The sequence below is a fragment of the Homo sapiens genome, chromosome 1 (genome assembly GCF_000001405.40).
Source record: "Homo sapiens chromosome 1, GRCh38.p14 Primary Assembly".
NCBI lineage: Eukaryota > Metazoa > Chordata > Mammalia > Primates > Hominidae > Homo > Homo sapiens.
The window spans coordinates 217,481,728-217,506,760 of record NC_000001.11 but is presented as its reverse complement, the minus strand read 5'-3'; the positions used below and the strand labels follow the sequence as shown (position 1 = coordinate 217,506,760).

At 36.1% G+C, this 25,033-nt stretch overlaps 1 protein-coding gene across 7 annotated transcripts in view; it reads left to right on the top strand.

The window, feature by feature from the left end:
* GPATCH2 (G-patch domain containing 2) overlaps window positions 1-25,033 on the top strand; it is a 204,099-nt gene that overhangs the window by 124,330 nt on the left and 54,736 nt on the right. For 2 of the 7 annotated variants that reach the window (NM_018040.5, XM_011509689.4), the window contains exons 7-8: window positions 8,366-8,405; window positions 15,011-15,081. The exons of 2 other annotated variants lie outside the window; for them this stretch is intronic. In NM_018040.5, the coding sequence (NP_060510.1) occupies window positions 8,366-8,405; window positions 15,011-15,081 (111 nt within the window). Of the gene's footprint in view, window positions 1-8,365; window positions 8,406-11,685; window positions 11,747-14,067; window positions 14,903-15,010; window positions 15,082-25,033 lie in introns of those variants that run through there. 3 more of the 7 variants (XM_047423792.1, XM_017001593.3, XM_047423801.1) reach the window with 3 other exon arrangements.

Genomic DNA, 25,033 nt, shown 5'->3' with positions numbered 1-25,033 from the left:
AGGAAAAGCATGTGGTATGTGATGAGACCAGAGAAGGTTCGGCAAGGAGCACATGATGCCAAGTCTGGTAGGTCATGTTACAGATTCTTTCTCCTAAGAGTGTTTGGAAAACCACTTAAGGTTTTGGTTTGCTTTTGCTTATTTATTGTTCCCTTGGTATGAATGAACTCCCTGTCAATTTCTACATTGACAATCATAAGGAGGATGCCCAAAGGCCAAAAGGCATCCTCCTTATGACTGCTACCAAGATCTGTTCTTACCTAGCCACATGGCTTCTTAATACTCTGTCATCTTGCCCTAATTTTTATTTCCATATCTCAATCTATGAAACCCTGTTATAGTATATTGGGTTAGGAGTTTGGCATATATTTCTACTTCTTTGTCCCCCTCCCTCCTCTCTCGTGTATAGTTTTTCATACTTGCAAGTCTCTTCAATAAAGTAGTTATAGTTCACAGGGAAACTGTCGGTATAGAAGACTGTATACCATTTCCAAAGTTAATTCATATATTTAGTGATAATCCACTTAGACCAGTGTTACCCAGCAGAAGAACTCTTTACAATAATGGAAATGTTCTGTATCTTCACTGTCCAGTATGGTAGTTATGAAACCGTATATGCCTTTAGCACTTGAAATGTAGCCATTGCAATTAAGAAACTTAATTTTTCATATGAATTTAAATTTAAGCCGAAATGGGAGGATCACTTGAGGTCAGGAGTTCGAGACCAGCCTGGCCAACATGGTGAAACCTTGTCTCTACAAAAATACAAAAATTAGCTGGCGTGGTGGCACATGCCTGTAATCCCAACCAGTTGGGAGGCTGAGGCAGGAGAATCACTTGAACCCAGGAGGTGGAAGTTGCAGTGAGCCAAGATTGTGCCACTGCACTCCAGCCTGGGTGATGGACCAAGACTCTGTCTCAAAAAAATAAATAAAAATAAATTAATTAATTGAATAAAGTAAATTTAAATAACCATAGATGGCTAGTGGCTACCATATTAGCACAGATTTAGATCATTTTATATATATTAGCCCCACTATTAAGTTAAAATGAAATTATGCCTCTGACTCCAAAAACAGAAACTTATCTCTAACAATAAAAATCCATATTATAAGTTGCAATAGCTCTTTCCTTCTGAAAAGTACATTTTTAGGAGACCTCAGTTAAGAATCTTGAGGTTGATTTTGTCCTTTTGTCTACATATAATATTAATTGACTTCCCATGAAATCCTATACATTTCTGCTACCTGTAGTTCAACACTGTGGGTGAGAAAAGGGGGAATTAAGGAACAGTGAGAAGGAATTAGTGTGGAACTCTGCATCTGCAGAGATTTTGGTTTTAAAACCTCTTTCCTAAAGGTTTATTTTCCAGTCATTCTTAAAAAAAAAATTATTTCTACTCCACAGGGTTACCAACCACAACTGCTCTACTGTACTTGAAAGAGCACTGTACTGAGGGCTCAATAGGTGATAACTATTCTTGTTATCAGCAGTGCTGCGGTGAGGATTAAATGAAATAATATGCCACGCTTAGTTCCTAGACCTCTCTAAACTGCGTCTATGTCCTAGGGGGAGAACTGAATTTGGAAACCACATTCAACCCTTATGAATTGTGAGGACAGGCAATCTGCCTGTGTCTCTGAGCCTAGCCATTCTTTACAGTTGATCAGTTTTAAACTCTTCTGTGCTCCCTACTCCCAGATTTTTCTACCACTGTTAGTCTCTCCATGAAGCCCGTGTGGAACCTTGGCTCCAGTGTAAATACACATAAATAAATACCCATTCTCTTTCAGAGCATTTTTTTCTTCCTCTGCCTTTGCATAAACTTGACTCTGACTTTCAAGGATGCTACTTCCTGTGTTTCCTTGTTTGCTCATTTTTCACTAAAAAGTTATTAAGCAACTTTTATTTTCCATGTATTATGCTGGATTCTGGCAACACCAAAAAGAAAGAAAGAAAAGAAAAAGAAAACCAACCCTTCCATTATGCCCCCAAAACATGATAGTACTTGAAGGAAATGAAGGGGAAGTATATGGTTAAAAATACAAGATATGGAATCAGACAGACTGAATTCAAATTCTGATTCCAGTACTTGCTAGCTGTGTGAGCTTGAATGGTGACAGGACTATTTCATAAAATCGTTGTAAGAATTGAATGAGATAATTCATGTATGGCCATGAGAATGATAACCAGCACACAACTAACACTTATAGAGTGGTGATAGTGCTTTTACTGCAACTTTGATTACTACTTCTACCACATTTTCTAGCTGCTACCACTATTTCTGTTAGTGTTATTATCATTATCCTTTTCTCAAGGACCTCTGATTTATTATTAAGATAAAGAATCAACTGCAATATACGAATATAATAGCTTTAGTGGATATATCGGCAGAGACATTGGGATTGGAAAAGGAAGCATCTAAATCTGCCAGGGTGAGTTCAACAGGCTGCCCAAAGGAGGACGCCATTCGCCTCCTCTCATTCCTATAAACCCTAGGACACAGAGGCCACCATTTTCCTACAACATCATTGTCCCTTTCAGATTATTCCTTTTTTACTCCTGGGTAAAACTTTTTTTGTTGTTTGAGGTTCATACTACCATCTACCTTTCCTTATTTGCCCTCATTCGTACAGGACTTTGGCGCTTGAATTAGTCTTTCTTTCCTGCATCAACCTCAGCTATCCTAATTGGTGGCAACATGTGTAATGGTTGGAAGGGACGTGGGCTTTGGAATCAGGAGACCTAACTGAATTCCCGCTCTGCTGCTTAGTTATGAAGTCTTTGGCAAACCTCTTAATCTCTCTGAGCCTGTTTCTTTATTTGCAGAATGGTAATAATAACTGTCCCTAGAGTAGTTTAAGGATTAAATTGCCTTAGTAAGGGCTCAATGCATGTTGGGTACTCCTTTGACCAACAGTTGGATGGAATAGTACATGCTGGCACTTAGCACACTTTTTTTTTCCTCCTGGAATTCAACGTTCTTCATCTGACTGCTACTTGAGAAACTCCCCTGGCTACTCTTATATATAACCATCACCCAGAACTAATAGAGCTCTGAAATTTTGAATGGTATGATACCATTTTCTTACCACAACCTAATACTCTTTCAGCTTTTTTATCTTATGTTCACTACCTGTGTTCTTTAGGCTCATTAAGACTGCTATTTAAATTTGGATAAACTTATCCAAATATACTTTCACTCCCCTTTTTCTTAGACTTAGAGGAAAAGATCTCTCTTCTCCTGTCCAAGGCTAATTCATAACACCTATGCTTTTGATTGAAAGGTTTTTTTTCCTTTCCAAAAGTTTCTTTCATCATCCACTACATTTTGTAACCTCCCCTTTAATTTTCTTTAATGTGTTTTCTGTCTCTCATACTTTGAAAGCCAAACTTCTAGAAAGAATAGATTACAGTATAGTCCCTTCTGCTCCATCCTACCATGATATTATACTCCTGATTTCTTCCTACGTCACTTTTTAGAAACTTCTCTGGAAAAGTTCACCAGTGGCCCCTCCAGTTGTGTTTTCTCAGTTCCTGTCAGACTTGATTTCTCTATATTTAACACCAGTGACCACTCCCTTCTTAAAACGTTTCTTCATGGCCTCAGTGGTACCACTGTCTCTTGGTTGTTTGCTGCTCTGAACATTTATTTTTATTCTTCCTACCCAAATTCCACTAGAAAGAAGAAAAAAGATATAAACACACAATGACAAAGAAGGAACACTTCAGCAGATTAGAGATTTCAGCCAATTTCTAGAGCTAGAAAGCACTTGGAGATTTGTACCTAAACAGGCAGGTAGAATAAATATAAACTTAAGAGTCTGATGAAATAAATGCTGATTTGTCCCTCACAGGCCCTAGAAAATCTGAAAACTTCTAAATAGGGTGGGGCATGGAACTGAAATAGTATGTCTCAGTCAAGAAAGTAAATCTTTCTTTTCTTCAGAAATTTACTAATATGAGAAAAATAGACAAGATAGTAAACCTGTAAGTTTCCACCATGAGGAGACACTTGTATGATCATCCTGTGGGTAAACTTATTTGTTGAAAAAGCTCTTCTGATCAGTTTTGTAGTGCTTTTTAAATATTGAATAGATAAGTAAAGATCACCAGATATTTGAGGAAAGACTTCAGTATAAAGAGAGGAACAAACAGGAAAAAAGGACCTGCTCATCAAAAGATGCCATAGACAGATAATTTATAAACCAAGTAGAGTAAAATGTTAATAGTAGAATCTAGATAGTGGTATATGGGTATTCATTCTAAGATGCTGTTAACTTTATTGAATATTTGAACATTTTCTTCATACATTTTGAAGAAAAAGTGAAAGAAATGAAAAATAAAATGGGAGATTAAAATGGCGAAAGAAATCAAAAGAGATCTACAAAAATGAAGAGACTTCATGGTTCATAGGTTGGAAGATTCAACATAGTAAGGATGTCAGTTCTCCCCAAATTGATAATTAGGTTTAATGCAATTCTTATCAAAATCCCAGCAAGATTTTTTGTAGATATAGCAAAGATTATTTTAAAATGTATATGGAAAAGCAAAGGAATTTGAATCACAAAAACAATTTTTTTAAAAAGAACAAAGTTGTAGGAATTATCCTACCAGATTTCAGTACTTACTGTATAGCTACAGTATTCAGGACTGTGTGGTATTGGTAGAGGGATAGACACATAAATCAATGTAACAGAATAGAGACCCCCAAAAATAGCTCCCCCCGCACACACACAAGTATAGTCAATGGATTTTTGAGAAACGTGCAAAAGCTGTTCAATGGAGGAAGAATAGTCTTTTCAACAATATTTGAAACTAGTGTTCTGGAAAATTTCCTTTGAAAGAATGAAAAGAAGCTACACACTGAGAGAAAATATTTGCAAACCACATATCTAGCAAAAGACTAGTATCTAGAATATATAAAGACCTTTCAAAATGTAATAGTTATAAAACAGTTAAAAAGCAAAACAATCTAGTTAGAAAATGGACAAAAAACATGAACATCCATTTTACCAAGGAGGATACACAAATAGCAAATAAGCACACAAAAAGATGTTTAGTGTCATTATCTATTAGAGAAATGCAAATTAGGACCACAATGAGATATCACTACATATCTATCAGATTGGCTGAAGTAAAACATAGTGACAGCATCGAATGCCAATGAGGATGTGGAAAAACTGGATTACTCATACATTGCTGATGAGATTATAAAATGGTGTAGCCATTCTGGAAAATGTTGGCAGTTTTATGAAACTAAACATGTAACTACAATACTAACCAGCAATTGCACTCTTGGTCATTGATCCCACCGAAGTAAAAACACTGTTCATAGAAAAACCTCTACACTAAGGTTAACAGCAGCTTTATTCATAATAGCCCAAAATTGGATATAACTCAGAAGTCTTCCGATAGGTGAATGGTTAAACAAACTATGTTCACCCATGCAATGGAATACTGCTCAGAATTAAAAGGAATAAACTATTGATACATGCAACAACTTCTCTGACTTTTCAGAGAATTTTGCTGAGTTTAAAAGCCAATCTAAAAAGGTTACATCCTGTATCATACCATTTGTGTAACATTATTTAAATGACAAAATTATAAAAATAGAGAATGGGTTAGTGGGTTAACAGGGATTCAATGTAGGAGATTGAGGGTTGGAGTGAAATGGATATGGCTATAAAAGGACAACATGAAGGATCGTTGTAGTAATAAATTGTTCTGTATCTAGTCTGTATCAGTCTCAGTGTCTTAGTTGTGATGTTACACTATAGTTTGCAAAATATTATCATTTTGGGAAACGGGATAAAGGTGCACAGGATCTCTACCAACTGCACGTAAACCTACAATTATCTCAAAATAAATATTTCTTGTAAAGATTGATAAATCACTTAGCAGGCAAACAAAAAGACAAATTTTAGGAGGAAAAAAATAAGAAGAACTAACAGATCAGCTCAGGAGATCTGACATTTAATTATTAGGCATTCCAGAGAGAGAAAAAAAACAAAAACTAATTTTCTCATACTGGAGGACCCAGATCTCTAGATTGCAAGGTCTCACCCAACACAGTAAATGAAAAATGCTCACTACTAGAGAAATTAAAAACTTCTAACAGCATCCAGAGGAAAGAAATCCAGATCACATTCCAAACAACAAAAATAAGCATTTTTTGTTGGCCTATTGAAAACTTAAGAATATGAAGAAGAAAACAAACAAGCGGGAAAAAATCAACTCAAACAATACGCTTCTCAACCATTCTCACTATTTGAGTGAGTTCTTCAGCAAAAGGTGGAAATGAACTGAGAAGCTGTGGGATACAGGAAACAAGAGGTGCAGCAAAGGAGAGAAATGATGTGAACACCCAGTGAGAGCCAAGGAAGTTCCAGGACAGATCTAGAAAACAACAGCTGTGAGACCAAGTAGACAGAGGGCTTTGGGAGGAGATCACTGGAGGCTGAAGAGGAGGGAGGAGTAAGGGATGGGCATATTTTCAGATATTTTTTAATATTTGAAAACTAACAGTGATAAGAATAAGAATGTAATAAAGACAGGCTGGCAGGTATTTAGAAAAATTAAGAAGGCTGGCAGGTACATAGAAAAAATAGCAAAAACAAGACAAATATCAACTTTAGGAGAAACAAAAAGAAAAGCTTAGTAGCAGAAAGTATTCATGTAGTCATAATAATGTCTGTATTTACAATTGATTAATCAAAAAGATGCTATAATTGGAAATAGAGGGTTGGGAGTTAAAAAAGAGCTAAGTCTGACAATAGAAAGTCAGTACTTCACATCTAAAATCAATGAATTACAAGCTATTGGTATAACCATATTCTTTAGAAATATAGCATTAAACACAAAATGAAAAGACTAAAAGAGTTGACAGTGGTGTCTCTCAACAGAGCTTAGGAGTCAGGATAGATGGAACAAGAAATTGCTGTTTTTAATCCTTTTAGTTTTTTTCTTTTAAACTGTGCGAATGCGTTTAAGAAAAATGTTTGTCTTTAAATAAAAAAAAAAAAAAGGCACAATCCAAAACAGGGGAAATATCTTAGTCAAGCTGTCAGAGGAACTACAATGAAAGATTAATTAATTTGGTAATTAATCCAGGTGTTATTTACTAATACCAATAAATGTACATTCCCCCATCACTGGTGGAATTTGACCTGCCTAGAAGCATCACTATCACTATCTATGAGCTTGAGAAATTCTATATTAAGGCCTAAACAAGGCCTATTAATGTAGAGGCTGTTTGTTCCTGGTTTTAATACCACAGAGGCTAGAGAATGCAAAGAAGTCTTGGAGCGTCCCAGGAGATGTAAACCCTTTCTAGCCCCTTGCCCTTCTGCAGCGTGGTGTGGTGAAAACACACCTTATGCAAGTAAGCTAACATTTTGAGCCCTCATTTCTGTATTTGGAACATGAGCCTAACCTTGTAAGGATTTTATGAAGATGGGAAATAAAACATGTCACGTGCTTAGTACATAGAGGTACTTGGTATTATGGTTGTTGAAATCATAAATAGCATTAATAGTAATGTTAGTATCATTCCCTGTGATCGTGGGCCTTTAGTGATTGATTTGCCATAATACCTCTCTCAATCTCCTAGTCCTTGATGTTTACAGTTAGTTTTTTTATGCAGAATAATGCCAGAGGACTGGGCGCATAGCTAATGCTAACAACTCCCGTGGAAAAGGTATTGCCAGATACATCGGTATTAAGAGTCCCAGGGGCAGCTGAAGCAAAATGGGCTGGGCTAGGCTATGTGAGAAGGCAAGGCTTTGATGATGCAGTGACTTCTATATTTTTAATGTTGTTGAACTTCATTCTCAGCCAGAATCTAGGTTGTTATAACTGTGGAGGGAATAGGTCCAAGGTACCTCAGCTGATGCTGCAGAATTCATATCAAGGGCTTTGTGTATTGCTCCTGGGGGCATAGCTAGATAATGTAATATTGTTGTATTTTTAACATTTTTTTTATAACTCCAACAATCAAAGGGTCATAATGTGTTGTAATGATGCTATAATTAAGTTGTGGTAAATGATAGCATTTGTAGGTTTTATAACCAGAATTGATTCATAAAATGAATACAGTCCCAGCAGTTTATGTTAACATAATTAAATGGAAATGTAATTCTAACTCAGTTTGCTTATTAAATTGAAAATTACCAGGTTATGAGCACTTTTACAGTTCTGTCAAAATTGGTCTAAGTCTAGAATTACATGAAACATCCATTAAAATAAAGCATATTTAAGGCTGTGTTGCTGGTGACAAATTTCTTAAAGCACATGCGGCTCGATCATGTGAGAGCACGTGCTTTTAGTTAGGTTCCCTCTAACTGCCTTTTTCTTTCCTCTGCAGCCATTGGTTTAGCCCTGGGGCTAGGACAGAGCATGACCAGGTAAGGACCATTGTAATCCAAAAGGAAGTTACTCAGCCTCTTTCAAGTATTTAACTGTCTCCCTTCAGGAGAGTAGATCAGCTTTATGAGAAAAAATACAAATCCCCGCTCATTTTAAAAGGTGTTAATTATGTCAACGATTAAATACACTGACCAAATAAATGCGTGATCCTTAATCAGCATGAGAGTTTTCTTTCCTTTACTGCCACTGTCTTCAGTCATACTTGTGACCTCCATGGAAAGACTCTGAAACTCACTCATTTGTAGGACCTCACTATTGATCTTTATTTTTCACAAAGTTAAGGTATCAAAACAGTACATGTGCTTAAAAATTAATTTGTATTAAATCTAAGTTCAGCCAGGAAGAGAATATTTGTATCTGAAGTTTGGAAGGTAGGAAGAGTTTCTTATACTTTTACATTATATTTCTAGATGAATTTTTTTAAATTTCTTACTGGTATACATGGCAGCACAATGATTAGTTGACTCAGTGAGAAGTTGACATTCATTACAGTTATTTTTACATGTAAAATCAGCAGTTACCCCTTGATTATATTAGTTCTTTCTCGGAAGCATGCTTAAACTTGTGATGTTTTAAAACATATACATTTTAGAGTTTGCATCCTTGCAAAGTTTTTATCTTTTATTGTGAATGATAAAAGTTATTTTTAAAATAAAGGGGAGTGGTCAACCTCAAATCTTCAGGAATCATTTCTTCTGAGGGGTAGGCAGAGACTTAGGTAGTAAAGAGGACTTTGTGCTTTAATGGTAATTGGTAACATTATAATGTTTGATTTCTTGGGCTGAGCAGCAGGTTCACAGCTGTTGCATATACCAGAGTTCCTTTTACTAATAAAAGGAAGGTGCTACACACTTCATTTTGAACCCTTCTTTATTTTTTAACACACATAAGCTTAATAGAAATACCTTCCATTTTCATGATTTTTTAACTTGCTTTTTTCCATGAGAGTGAGTTACATTTTAAAGATACTTCTCACATTAATAATGGACTATGTGCCACTATTTCTATGAATTCAGAATGAACTAAGCTAAGCTACATCTATGATGTGTTCCTCTTATTATTTACAATACAAAAATTAGACTTTCTGCTTTCCTAAATGGTTCTTATCCCTCTATGTACAATGCTTACAATAATATTCCGCTTTTAGTATTAAGTTGCATCAGGATATATTTTATCTGAAAATACAATTTTATAAAGCTCATTTTCTACCCTTTAGAACTTGAGAAGTACTAAAGCAATGTTATAAATCTAGGTTTTAGACTATGGTATACCTGGTTGCTTCCAGCCAAGCTTTATTCTGAAATTAAAAATTACCTTTAATAGCTAATACCTTATAGGGAAGAAATTGACCAATTTTTTTTTATCTTTTTAAATCTTTTTGACCAATTTTTGAGTCAGCTTTTACTTAAACTTTGATGTGCCATTTCAGATCTGTATCCTTACTAGGTAGATTATTAATTAATAAATCCAGTTAATTCTTGTTACATATGGTAGTTATGTTCTATGTAGTCAACTCAAACACTGAATCAATGAATACTGAACCATTGCTTGTAGGGGAAATACAGGGTTAGGTTTCTTTGAGCCCCAGGTCTCATCTTCATCAACTGATCAATACATAACCTTGTTTTGTGTGTGATTCTGTTTAAAGATACCTTATTTAATGTCTGTTGTTGATTCATTAACATCGAACTCAGGGCCAACAGCATTATAACTCATGCCTGAATGAAGCTTATCTAAAGCACATATTTTCTCTTTAAGACCCATCACTGTCTTCTTGCAGTTAGGAACACTAGACAGCACTTTAGCACTATGCTTGGGGCCATTTTAAATAGCGAAGTCACCAACAGAAGCACAATTATGCAAAACAAACAAACAAACAAACAAAAAACCCAAAAAACTCATAGCATTAAACAGACTGCAAGAAATACACTTGTTTATACTATGAGAGCTTGAAACAAGGCCGTGTCACCTGGCTGGAGCTCAGCTGGAAACGTGTTAGAGGCTACTCAGATTTTTACCACTCTGGCTACACATGTCTGCAAATGACTGCAAAAGCAGGGGAAGTATTGGTTTTTGTGTTACAAATAAATGTTAGCAAGTAGGTGTATGGAATCTGAATAATGACAATGAATTGTACATGTATGTATATGTACAATACATTCTACTTACATAAGGGATAATAATTTCTTAGTTCAACTCAGACCTAACTGTATAGCAGACTAAACTGTTGTCTAAAGTCAGGTGCAAGTGGTGAAATGCAAGACCATGAAGTATAAAATCTTTTAGTTTATTGTTGAAGGAATGACTAATTAGCATGCATGATTACCTTATGCTTTTCTCATACCAACTTAACACAAAGAAACAATAATATTAACCCTACTTTTAAAATCCCATCTCTCACTCCTTTCTCCATCTTATTGATTCTTCTTTCTTGCTATTCTTCAGTGCTAAGTCCCATTTCAATTTACTATACATAGTGATCGTGCCTTTACTATACATTTGTTAAATAACTTACTCACCAGCCACTATCTATTGAGGACTCTCTATTTTTATTAAAAGAGTTATTTGTAAAAAACAACATAGTTTTTCCCCTGAGGTGGTTATAGTCTGGAGCAGGTAAGCAGTAATTATACTATGTTGGTAAATGTTTCAGAAAACCATAGAGAAGGCACTATGAAGGCCACGAAAGAGAAATGTGAAAGTTAGTTCAGGGGTGGAAGGAAAGAGGGAGAGGCAACTATAGGAAGCATCATTTTTTGTTTTGTCTTCTTTAATTCTGAAGCTTTTCTTCCTTGAGACATTTTGACTGAGTTTACAAGAAGTATCTTAGTGAGTCAGATCATAGTTTAGTTTTTACTTAGTTCCCCTTTTAATTTTGAGGACACTGTTGAGTGTGAAGAGACTTGAAATTATTTTGCAGACATTTGAGGAATTACCTGAACAGTGGCTGCCAATAGAAGCACTCCTGAGCTTGAGTGCCTTATGTATAATCAGGTAGTAAAGAGAGGATTGGTGGGGAATGAGAATTCTGCTCTTTGCCTTTCCTCTTGGGATGTGAGACTTTTAATAATCTTGAAAAATGTCATGAATAGCCACAGAAACTCTTAGTTCCTTTTCTTTAAATGTAAAAACCATTATCCACAAGGTATACTTTTCTTCCTGGTTTAATTCAGCAGTTTTTCCAATTGTACCTAGGTTTTTTACTTACAGATTTTAATGTAATTCTTATATGAGTTATTTTTTAATATACATCTGCAGGTCACTAATAAGGGGATTGTATCTTCGTTTGGCCTAAGTCCAGCAATCTGAAAGTTGGAAGGTAAGAAGCACTTCGCACCATATTCACAAGTTCTGTTTTTGATCAGAGTTGACATTATTGAGTCAGAATCCAGAAAGCAACCTCACTTGTGACACTGATAGGAGTCCAAGGGAACAGAAAAAAAAAAATGTATCAAGAAGAAGAATGAAAAAATTTTCAGAGTCTTTTGAGCTGCTCTTGCTTATTAGAGCAGGGATCAAGGATTCTTGTTTGTTTTGAATTCATAATCTGACTTTAAAAAAAAATATGTTGGGAGTCTTCTTTTTTTTTTGAGACAGAGTCTCACTTTTTCATCCAGGCTGGAGTGCAGTGGCGCAATCTCGGCTCACTGCAACCTCCGTCTCCCGAGTTCAAACGATTCTCATGCCTCAGCCTCCCTGAGTAGCTGGGATTAATTACAGGCGCCTGCCACCATGCCCGGCTAATTTTTCTATTTTTAGTAGAGACAAGGTTTCGCTATGTTGGCCAGGCTGGTTTCGAACTCCCGACTTCAGGTGATCCGCCCGCCATGGCCTCCCAAAGTGCTGGGATTACAGGCGTGAGCCACTGCACCTGGCCAGGAGCCTTCTAAATGCAAATACATGTTGTTCAAGTAACACCTTAGATTAATTTTTTCATCTTTGCCCCATAAAAGATCTAAGCTCACATATTAACTTGTGATTCATGACCCAGAGATCTCTGTAGTTTTATCTGAGCTTCCTTTTGAAGTTGCAGTGGTATCCCCAGATGTATAATTGTACTGATAAGGTGAGATAAGTTTGTGATGGGTTTTATACATATAGATGCATTGCATTAAGTAATGCCATTGTTTGACTTGTTTTTATGTACAAAGCCCATCAAAACTATACATTTGAGGAAGAAAACACATTATAATATAAATCTAATAAAAGGAGCTATAACATCAACGTTCAGAGAGGGTGCTATCTCATTTAAATTCATCCAGATTGGTGGCCTCTCTGAGAACTATCGAAACCTAGTAGATACAACCTAATGTTTATTTTGGTCCTTATAATTGCATTTTTCAAAACTAAACTATAAATTTTTTATTTTTTTTTCCATAACATTTGGTTTGGGATTTTGAGTTCTTTGTTTGAACTGTTGTAACACAAGCCTCAGGAATAGTGTTCAAGTATCTGTCTTTTATCTTAGAATTAGAAAACATAATTAACTATTAACTATTATTATTAATTTAATGTAGAGGTAGAGATTTCATCATCTTACTTCTAGCTATCTGTGTCACAAATGTTGGTTTGTATATATATTTTTTAAAAGGCACTAGACTTAGAAATGCCAAAGTAATTAATTTTCTTTATTTTCAGAAACAATTTAGTGTTCATGGTACGAAGTGTTTCTAAATTGAAACACTTTCAGATTAATGGATTTAAGATAACTGGTTGCTCTTTTCTATAAGTAGTAATAATGAGATATGGCTTCAGCTACATATCAGATACCAGATCTCACTTCCTGTTCCTTTATTTCATTCATCCATTCATTCAGCAAATATTTGCTGAGCACTAAAATGCTCCAGACACAGTGCATGAACCCTGAAGATATAGGCAAATTGCATAACCCAAGCAAAGGGCCAGAGATGAGCAACAGCATGGTACATACCCCAAACTAAGAACTTCACTATGGCTAGGATATATAATTTAGAAGAAAGAAGGTTAGGTTGGGGTAGGAGGAAGCATAATAAATTATGAATTTAGAGATGTAATCAAATTATGAAGGGTCATGAAAGCCTTGTACAAGATTTTGAGTTTGATCTCCATAGAGTCATATAATTAGATTAATTTTAGAAAGCTCATAGTGTCTGCAGTGTGGAGAGTAGATTAGAAGGAAGCAGGCCTGGAAGCAGGGAGATCATTTGGGAGACTTTTCCAGGACAGAGAAAATGGTGGTCTAAACTGGGATGGTTGCAAGGGGGATGAAAAGAAGTAGATATTTAAGAGAAAATTTAAGAATACTTATTTAGTTCAGACGTTCCTGAAAGAATGAGCCTAACCATATTCTTGATCATCTAAGGAAGGTCTATTCCTTCTCAAGGACAGCTAAGTAAACTAATAATTGATTCTAAGTGATGTAATTGAACAGTTCAAAGCAGTTATTCGTCATTAGAAATTATTGATACTGGTCAGATAATACCTACTGAGAGCTAGTCCCATTAATTTTCATCATAATTATAATCATAGCATTTAAGCCATATTATTTCTCAGCATTTCCTATGTTCCAGTTTTATAGCACTGAATATTTTAAATGGTTTATATTACTTAATACTCACAGTAGCTTTACAGGTAGATATTATTGTTATTTCCATTTTACAGGTGGAGACCAAGGCTTAGAGAAGTTAAGTACTTTGCCTAAAGTTACACAGGTTGTAAATGGTAAAGCTATTATTGGAACCTAGTGACTTTTTAGTTACTGGCCCAGCTGGGATTAGAACCCAGCTCTATCCTGTATTATTATTTCCAAGACTTTTATTTTTGTTGGGGTTAATTGCTAATATTCTGTACAACTTCGTTTTAGCCCAGTCTTGCATATAATCATATTTTCTGCATAAATAAGATAAGCTAGAGTTTGAGTGAGCACATAGTGAAGAATATTGACTATTTGTTTTTTTCTTTCCAATTAGTTAGGGTAAAGCAAGTGTAAAGGGAAGTGGATGGTAAGGCATTTTGAGGAGGCAATCAAATATGTTTTTTTCTAATTATATATTTCCAAGCCAATAATTTCTTTGAAGAAGAATGTTTTAAGCGTGTTTCTTTACCATGTTAGGCCAGTAGGTACAGAGAAAATAATATTAGCTCTTTATGTCAGCATAGGTAACAAAGCCTTAAAAAATTCACAGCTGAATGCAACAGTGAAGGCCGTTGACAAGAGAGGTTGCATTACTTCAACCAGGGCTACTGCAGTGAACCAAAAAAAGAACTGAGTTCTAGGCTTCCATCTCCAGGCTACATCTTAACTGACTAAGAGGGCAGTTTAGCTGTCCAGGAAGAACTCGATTGCTAACTCTCACTGATAATTTTGCAACAGTGACAATAAAGAATGAATTTTAAAAAGAAAAACTTGTCTCCCTGAACTATTGAACTCCAGAAAAAGTAGTACTTACAGTCTTTGCTTTAAGAGAAACCAGTTAAAAAAAAAAAAAAAAAGCCGTGCAAATAAATGAGTAGTGTCCCTTTGAATGAGAATATTTTCCTACTTGCAAAATAATATAATGAAAATATTTTTGTTTCTATGACTTTGTCTTAACACTTTGTGTAGCATCAGCTTCTGAGAGATAATCGAGCTGAAAGAGGACACAAGAAAAATTGTTCTGTGAGAACAGCCAGCAGGTAAGCAATTCAAAATCGCTTTTTATTCATTCATTTTCTTTTTTTCTATGCCTATAAGAATGTAATGAATTGTTGTTAGGTTGCCTTTGGTTCTAAAAAGTCACCTTAAAATATTTTATGTATTGTTTATTGGAATCTATTTTAGGATTACGAGCAATGAATAAAAAGATATTTTATTTATATTTTTTAAACTTGTAAAAAATAATTAATTTTTAAAATAAAATATTTATCTCCCTTAATTACTGAATTTTAGATCAGCATTTACACTAATAATTCATTTTTAATCTAAAAAATTGGCTTAATCTCTTTCCCTAAACTTAAGTGGCATTTAGACCTTATGAGAGAGAAATATGTGTATTCTAATAACATATAAATGAGTAAAGACTGGGAAGAAAGTAGTCTCTTTTAAAGAGTGCTTTTATAATCTTGTTCATTTTTTCCAATGTTAGTTTTTTCCATAATACAAAGAATTTCTCCCAGTTTGTTTTTTAGACAATATATTTTCAAATTGTGCAAATGGTGTTTCTGAAGACTTAATTTTTGTTTAGATGAAAATGGCTACCCTTCTTGTCAGAATGTTGATTAGAAAAACTGCCCTGATATTTACATTTATTTTATTCTTAAGAACAGATAACTGACCTCAGCAGCCACCATTGCATCCCATGGCTTCCCAGTGCTAGTGTGCTATCCACTGACTTTAACATTCCCAAGTAACCAAAATACAGCTTCAAAGTGCCATGTCATGCAGACTAATGCCAACTGAGATCCCACTGGGTATCTGCAGAAGCAAATGCAAATCCTACCCAGCATACCTAATTTAGACAATCAAAAATCACCAAACACAAAATGGGATAATTCACCATCAGTGATAGTCAACATAAATGACTAAGAGATTTTCTCCTAAGATTGCCAGATCCTAAAATTGTAAGATATAGATTATAAAATAACTATGGATGAGATGTTTATAGAAATAAAATGAGCAAGCAACAAAACACCATAAAAATGAATCAATAAGAAGTGAAAAATGTATATAATTTTTAGAAATGAGAAATGTGATTGTTCAAGAGATAATTAGTGAAAGGAAAGATACATCTGAAGAATGAGCCAGAATATAGTATAAAAATTCAAGGAGATGGAAAACTGAAGGAGTACTTAAGAGACAAAGAAGATCTGTGATACAATCAATCATAGTCCTTGAGGAAAAGAATGGAACAGCTGAAAAAAACATGAAATTTGATGAGATGGTCGCTAAGAATTCCCCAACCTGGTAAAAGTTATAAATCCATAGATACAGATACAAAAAGCACAGTGAATAACATGCACGATAAATAAAACGAAATCCACACCTAATAATATACCATAGTAGACCAAAAGCAAAGACAAATGTTAAAAGAATCAAGAGAAAAGGCAAATTATCTACAAAGGAATGACAATGATATATCAGATTTCTCAGTAGCATCGGTAAGGCCAGAAGACAGTGCAATCATCCTCATTGCGCTGCATGAAAATAAATTGTCAACCTGGAACTATGTACCTGGAAACCCATCTTTCATGTACAAAGATGAAGTAAAATAAAGATTTTCAAAAACGAGGAATATTTACAGACCTTTGCGAAGAAGTTTTAAAGGGTGTATTTCATAAAAGTCCCAAGGAAGTTCTGAGATGCAAGAATGAATAACGAGCCAATATACTGATTAAAATGTTTATATAAATAATCATTGCTTCTATAAAGTGATAATTGTAATAATGTAATTTGTAGGACTTTTTAAAAAAAATTTCTTTAATTTGAGACGGAGTTTCTCAATTCTTTTTTATTTGAGACGGAGTTTCTCTCTTGTTGCCCAGGCTGGAGTGCAATGGTGCGATCTCCACTCACTGCAACCTCCGCCTCTCGGGTTCAAGCAATTCTCCTGCCCCAGCCTCCCAAGTAGCTGGGATTACAGGCATGTGCCGCCACACCCGGCTAATTTTGTATTTGTAGTAGAGACGGGGTTTCACTATGTTGGCCAGGCTGGTCTCAAACTCCTGACCTCAGGTGATCTGCTTGCCTTGGCCTCCCAAAGTGCTGGGATTACAGGCATGAGCCACTGTGCCCCGACAATTTGTAAGACTTAAAGGCAATCTAAAACAATGGACAAAACAAACAAACAAAAAAGAAAATAAATAAAAGAAAATAAAATAATGGACAGCAATAGCGTGTTAAGTTTGCAGGGTTGGCGATTATAGTTAAAGTCCAATGTAAGGTCCTTGAATTGTTTAAGATGTCTACTTCATTAGTCAGTTAAGCATTTGATACTTGATAAGACTACATTAAGTATTCATTGGTAAAATATCTAAATAACTACTAAGTCAATAGAAAGAGAGTATATAATTGCCAAACCAGTGGAAGGGGGAAATGTAATTAAAATATTGCCCCCGTCAAATAATCCATTTTTTAAAAATGGATTAATTAACTATTTAAAAATAGTTAATTCCAGCACTTTGGAAGGCTGAAACAGGAGGATTGCTTGAGGCCAGGAGCTTGAGACCAGCCTGGGCAAAATAGTGATACCCTCCATCTCTACCAAAAAAAAAAAAAAGTGAAGAGAAAAGAAAAAGCATTGAGAAAATAAGATACATAGAAAGCATAAAATTAGACAATTGAATCATACACATAAACACACACACACAGATCAGTAATCACAGGAAATATTTATGGTTGGCTGCTCGAAGAGGCCCACACCTGTTAAGCCACAGCACTTTGAGATTACTTGAGACAAGGAGTTTGAGACCACCATGGGCAACATGCAAGACTCTGTCTCTACAAAAAAAAAAAAAATTTTAAATAGTCTATGGCGGTGCATGTCTGTAGTCCCAGCTACACAGCAAGCTGAGGCAGGAGGACTACTTGAGCCCAGGAGTTGGACCTTACAGTGAGCCATGATCATGCCACTGCACTTCAGCCTGGGCAACACAGTAAGACCCTGTCTCAAAAAAAAAATAGTTTTTTAAAAATTAAAATAAAATAAAATAATTTATGATTAAACATGTCAGTTAAAAGCAGAACTAATTAGGTTGGACTTACTGGAAATATCCAGTATATGTTCTTTATAAAAGACACACCTGAAATATAATGACAGGGAAGGGTGGAAAACTAAAGAAGGAACAGGATATATGCTAGATGCATTATAAAGAAAGCTCTCATACCAAAGTGATTTAGGAAAAAAAACTTTACCAAGTTTTAAAAAGTCATTATTTTAGGATAAAAGATTCAGTGTATAGGCACTCAAATAACCTCAAAATGTATAAAGCAAAGAGCAATAGGAGAACATGGAGAAACTTACTAACCCACCATCATAACACTGCTATTATTGATAGCTTAAGCCACCCAGAAAATTTATAAATGGAAAATTTCTGTAACACAAAATTAGCAAGCTGAAATTAGTAATATTATATAAAACCTTGCATCCAAACTGGTAGTAAAAACACATTCTTCTCAAAGACACATACAACACTTACAAAATTAATCACTTACCAGGCCATAAAGCTAGTATCAACAAATTTCAGTGAATATGGATCATAAAAAATATATTCCTTTACTGGAATGTGATTCAGTTAGAAATCAGTACCAAATTTTTTTTTTTTAAAGGTTACAGTTAAAGGCTGGGTGCGGTGGCTCACGCCTGTAATCCCAACACTTTGGGAAGCCAAGGCGGGTGGATCACGAGGTCAGGAGTTCGATACCAGCCTGACCAACATGGTGAAACCGCGTCTCTACTAAAAATACAAAATTAGCTAGGCGTGGTGGTGTGCTCCTGTAATCCCAGCTACTCAGGAGGCTGAGGCAGGAGAATCACTTGAACCCAGGAGTCGGAGATTGCAGTGAGCCTAGATCACGCCACTGCACTACAGCCTGGGCGACAGAGTGAGACTCAGTCTCCAAAAAACATAGGTTACAGTGAAAAAGTGCACTTCTGGCCGGGTGCAGTGGCTCATGCCTGCAATCCCAGCACTTTGGGAGGCCGAGGTGGGCGGACACCTGAGGTCAGGAGTTGGAGATCAGCCTGGCCAAAATGGTGAAACCCTGTTTCTACCAAAAATACAAAAATTAGCCGGGCTTGGTGGCCCCTGCCTGTAGTCCCAGCTACTTGGGAAGCTGAGCCAGGAGAATCGCCTGAACCCGGAAGGCGGAGGTTGCAGTGAGCCAAGATTGGGCCATTGCACTCCAGCCTGGGCAACAAGAGTGAAACTCCGACTCAAAAAAAAAAAAAAAAAGAAGTACTCTTCCAAGCAACTCATGTGTCAGAAGCAACTATATTAATATCAAGACATGTGGATTGCAATTAGATGGTAATTGGAGGAAATTCTACTGCCTTAAATGTTTATTTATATTAGAAATTCGGTCCCAGCTCCTGTTACAATCAAGTTTCTGAACTACAGGATTACTGCCACCTCCCTGAAGATCAACCCAGCAGAAATTTAGAAAGAGAAAATACATAGGAAACTTCAAGAAGCCCTTGGTATTATAGGTGCTATCTTAAACTTGTGTATGTAAAGCAGGGTGGCTTTGACTTGAGACAGGAGGCAATCCAGCCTGGCTGAGGGAAAATAAAATATGAAATACAGGGAGAATAAAATATGAAATACAATTCTGTACTGTTTTATCATTGGCCATTGCCTTGGGAGAACTGCTGCCTGCCCCACACAAAGACTCAGACCTCTGGTCTAAGTGTTTTCTGAAATAAACTCAGTAGTTCACAGTGCTGTTTTTGAGGAGCTTCATGGAACTAGGTGAAAGATTATCATGTCCTTGCTGCAGCCCCTCTAAAACCCAGTGCTGAAGAATTAGTCCTGCTCCTCTCTGGGAGTGAGAAGAGGGAAAAGGTATTCTCCTAACCAAAGGGGTTATTTCATGGGATGGGGTGTGATGACTGTGGTTTTCCGGTGCCAGAGCCTCTCCACTCTAAGGCTCACAACCCCAGTTGCTTTCCACATGCCATTGCCTGACAGACTAGCCAATATTCTCAGAGGAAGATGAACTCATAGGCTAAGACAAGACGTTTGAAGAGGCCAGGCAGAGTAGCTCACACCTGTAATCCCAGCACTTTGGAAGGCCAAGGCGGGAGGATCACTTGAGCCCAGGAGTTCAAGACCAGCCAGTGCAACATAGTGAGACTCTGTCTCTATAAAACATTTAAAAACTAACTGGGCAGTCGAGGCTGCAGTGAGCCATGATCATGCTAGTGCACTCCAGTGTGGGCAACAGAATAAGACCCTGTCTCAAAAAACAAAACAAAAAGAAAAAAGACATTTGACAAGAACAGCCTTTTCAAAAGAAAAACAATCGATTGGATTACAGATTCCAATAGAAGCAGAAATGTTAGCACAAGAGAGTCAACAAAATTCTAATTAGCATGATAAATATTAATCAAAATAGATATAGGAAGATATTAACAATATGAAGCAAGAAAAAGAACACATAATCAAGAACCAGATATTTATTTAGGTCTTAAGATCTGCATAACTGGAGAGATACACCTTGTTCATGGGTCAGAAGACTCAATATCTTAAGATCGGTTTTCTTCAAATTGTCTATGGATTAAATACTATCTAAATCAAAATCCCAGCAGGCAATTTTATAGAAATGGATAAGCTAATTCTAAATTTCATATGGAAATGCAAAGGACTTAGCCCAAACAACTTTCAACAAGAAAAATAAAGTTGAAATGCTAACACTACGTTATTTGAAGACTTTATTATAAAGCTATGTTAATTAAGACAGTCTGGTACAGTCATGCACCACATAAGGACATTTCAGTCAGTGACGGATCACATATATGACAGTGGTCCCAGAAGATTACAATACCATATTTTTACTGTACCTTTCCCATGTTTAGTTATGTTTAGATACACAAATACTTACCACCATATTACAGTTGCCTACAGGATTCAGTACAGGTTTGTACCCTAGAAGCAATAGGCTATACCATAGAGCCTAGGTGTGTAGTAGGCTACACCATCAGGTTTGTATCCTTGTCATTAATTGATGCCTGACTACATTTATATGAAGATAGAAAAACAGATCATTAGAGAGAAATAGAGGTCAAGAAATACAGCCACATGTGCACAGACAACTAACTGATTTTCACCAATTTACAAAGTCAGTGGAGAAAGTTTGACAGTCTTTTCAACAAATAGTACTGGATCAAGTATATTGTCATTTGCAAAAAAAAAAAAAAAAGATATTCAACCCACACCTAACACCGTACACCATGTAATGGTTAATTTTATGTGTCAATTTGACTGGGCTAAGAGATGCCCAGATAGCTGCTCAATAAATATTTCTGGGTTTGTCCGTAAGGGTGTTTCTGGAAGAGACTAGCATTTGAATCGGTAGACTGAGTAAAGATCTCTCTTATGCAGATGGGCATCATACAATCTATTAAGGGCCTGAATAAAACATAAAGGCAGAGGAATGGCAAATTTATTTTCTCCTCTTGATCTGAGAGATCCATATTCTCTTGCCCTCAGACATCAGCACTCCTGTTTCTTGGGCCCACAAACTCAGATGAAGTCTTACCCCATTACTCCCTAGCTTTCAGCTGAATTACTCCACCAACTTTCCTACTTCTCCATTTTGCAGACCACAGATTGTGGGACTTCTCAGCCTCCATAATCACATGAGCCAATTTCTATAGTAAATATATTTATGTGTATATACCACATAGAAAACTTAACCCACATGGATAACAGACCTAAATGTAAAACCTAAACATATAAAACCTCAAGAAAACACAGGAGAAAATCTTTGCAACTTTGGTGTATTTATAGGCAGGGTTCTTCAGAGAAACTCAGTTCATATAAGTAAATATATATATCTATATACACATATACATATATATCTATATGGGATATAGATATATATCCATCCTATATATACCTATACCTCCTATGTATTTATATACATATGCACATATATCACCTCTATGCACACATATATACACATATATGTTCATATGTGTATACACGTGTATATATAAGTATATGTGTGTATATATGTATACACGTGTGCATATGCATGTGTATGTGTATACATATATATGCACACGTGTATATGTGCATCATATATATATATATATATATAAATAATTATATATAGAAAGATTTATTTGAAGGAATTGGCTCACACAATTATAGAGACAGAGAAGTCCCAAGATCTTCAGCTGACAAGCTGGAGACTCAGGAGAACCAGTGGTGTAGATCTAGTCTGAGTCTGAGGGCCTGAGAACCAGGAAAACCTGTGATGTAACTTCTAGTCTGATAGTCGACAGACTCGAGACCCAAGAAAAGCCAATTTTTTAGTTCCAATCCAAAAGCAGGAAACTGATGTTCAACCTGAGTAGTCAGGTAGGAAGAGGTACCTCTTACTCATCCTTTTTGTACTCATCCTTTTTGTGTTCTAAAAAACAATTGATTAGAAGAGGCTCACCCACATTTAGGAGATAAATCTACTCAGTCTACCAATTCAAATGTTAATCTCATCTGGAAACACCCTCACAGACATAGACACAATAATATTTGACCAAATGCCTAGGCACCTCATGACCCAGTCAAATTGACTTGGTATGTTGGTTAAAAGTAACCAACATATGTTGGCTTCAGCAAAGATTGCTTTGATAAAACTTCAGAACACAATCCAGGAAAGAATAAATTGATAAATTGGAATTTATGAAAATTTAAAACTTATGTTCTTCAAATGACACTTCAGAAAATGAAAAGCCACAGACCTGGAAAAAATATTTGCAATCACATATCTTATAAAATATTTATATCAAGAATATGTAAACAACTCTGAAAACTCAGTAATAAGAAATCAATCCAATTAAACAATAAGGAAAAGTTTGACTGGACACCTCACCAAAGAAGATATGTAAATGGAAAATTGCATATGCAAAGATGTTAAACATCATTACTCATTAGGAAAATGGAAAGTAAAACCACAATGAGGTATCACTCACAACAATTAGAATAGCTAAAATAACAAAATGAATGTACTATATTACATTCTGGAAACCAGTTTTGAAGTTTCCTAAAATGTTAAACATAGACCTACTATGCATTCCACGTGAATACTTAAAAGACTTGTACACACCACACCACTGCACTCCAGCCTGGGTGATAGAGCAAGACCCTGTCTCCAAAAAAAGCAATGGGGGGTCTAGGCACAGTGGCTTATACCTGTAATCTCAACACTTTGGGAGGCCAAGGTGGGAGGACTGCTTGAGCTCTAAAGCTCAAGGCCATCCTGGGCAACATAGTGAGATGCCATCTCTACAAAAAGTAAAAATATTAGTCAGGCATGGTGGCGCATGCCTATAGTCCCATCTACTCAGGAGGCCAAGGTAGGAGGATTGCTTGAGCCTGGGAGGCAGAGGTTGCAGTGAGCCAAGATTGTACCACTGCACTCTAGCCTGGGCGACAGAGACAGAATGAGACTGTCTCAAACAAACAAACAAACAAAACAAGATTGGTATACAAATATTTGTAGCATCTTTATTCATAATAGTAAAAGCAAAAAGGAAACAACCAATATATACTAAAACTTCGACAGAGAGTATATGGATAAACAATGTTGGTATATCCATACAGTGGAAAGCAATTCAGTCACCAATAAAAAGGAATGAAGAATTGATACACATAACACATTTATGTAAAATTCTAGGAAACATAAACTACTACATAGTGAAAGAAAGCAGATCAGTTGTTGCCCAGACATGGGGTGAGGACCAGGGGGATGTGGGAGGAAAGGGCTACAAATGGGCATGTAGAAACTTTTGGGATGATAGATATGTTCATTATCTTGATTATAGTGATGGTTTCACGTGTGTATGAATGTGTCAAAACTTATCAAATTGTATACTTTAAGGATTTGAAGTTTATGTATGTCAGGCACCAGGATGATAGGGAAACTGTCAAAACTCTTCAAACTATTTTTTTTTAAATAAAATCTTTAGTGGCTTTCTCTTTCATTCCAAGTAAAAACTGAAGTCTTTTCTTTTTGGCCTACAAGACTATATGTGATGTGACTCACCCCTTGTGGCTTCCTCCCTGACCTCATCTCCTCCCACTTCAACTCTTATTCACCGTGAGCTCCAGACACACTGGCCTCTTAGTGGTTGCTCCAGCACACCATCCACACTCACATCTCAGGGCCTTTGCACCTGCTGTTACCTCTGCCAGAACACTCTGTCTACAAGTACCCATATGGCTTTCTCCTCATTTCCTTCAATTCTCTGCTCAGTGTAAGGTCCACTGTCCACCAGTACCATCATACCCTGTCCCCTCTCCCTGCTTTATGTGTCTTCCCTATTGTCTCTATTTTTCCTCTTTTTAAGCTTCGTGAATACATGGTCTTTGTTTTACTCACTCATGTAGCCCCAATACCAAAAACAGTGCCTGGCGCTATTAGGCAATAAATGTTTGTTGCATAAAATATTTGTAGAATAAATTTAAAATGAAATCTAAGGAGTAGAGTACACTGATTAAGTGCGTAGGCCCTGGAACTGAGGTGCCTGACTTCCAATTCCAGTTTAATCACTTACTAACTGGGTGATCCTGAGCAAAATACTGACCCTCTCTCTCTCTCTCAGTTTACTTATCTATAAAATAGAGAAAATGGTAGTACCTACCTCATAGCATTGTTGTAAGGAATAAACAATAACAAATAAGTGGATGTTAGCTGTTATGATGACTGTATTATTATTGTTTCTATTTTTCCTGTATGTTTCCTAAGCACTTGGTTTTGTTTTGTTTTTTGTTTGTTTGTTTTTTGGGCTTTTTGAGGCAGGGTCTCACTCTGTCTTTCAGGCTAAAGTGCAGTGGTACAGTCATAGCTCATCATATGTAGTCTCAAACTCCTGGGCACAAGCAATCCTTCTGCCTCAGCCTTCTGATTAGCTGGGACTGTAGGCAT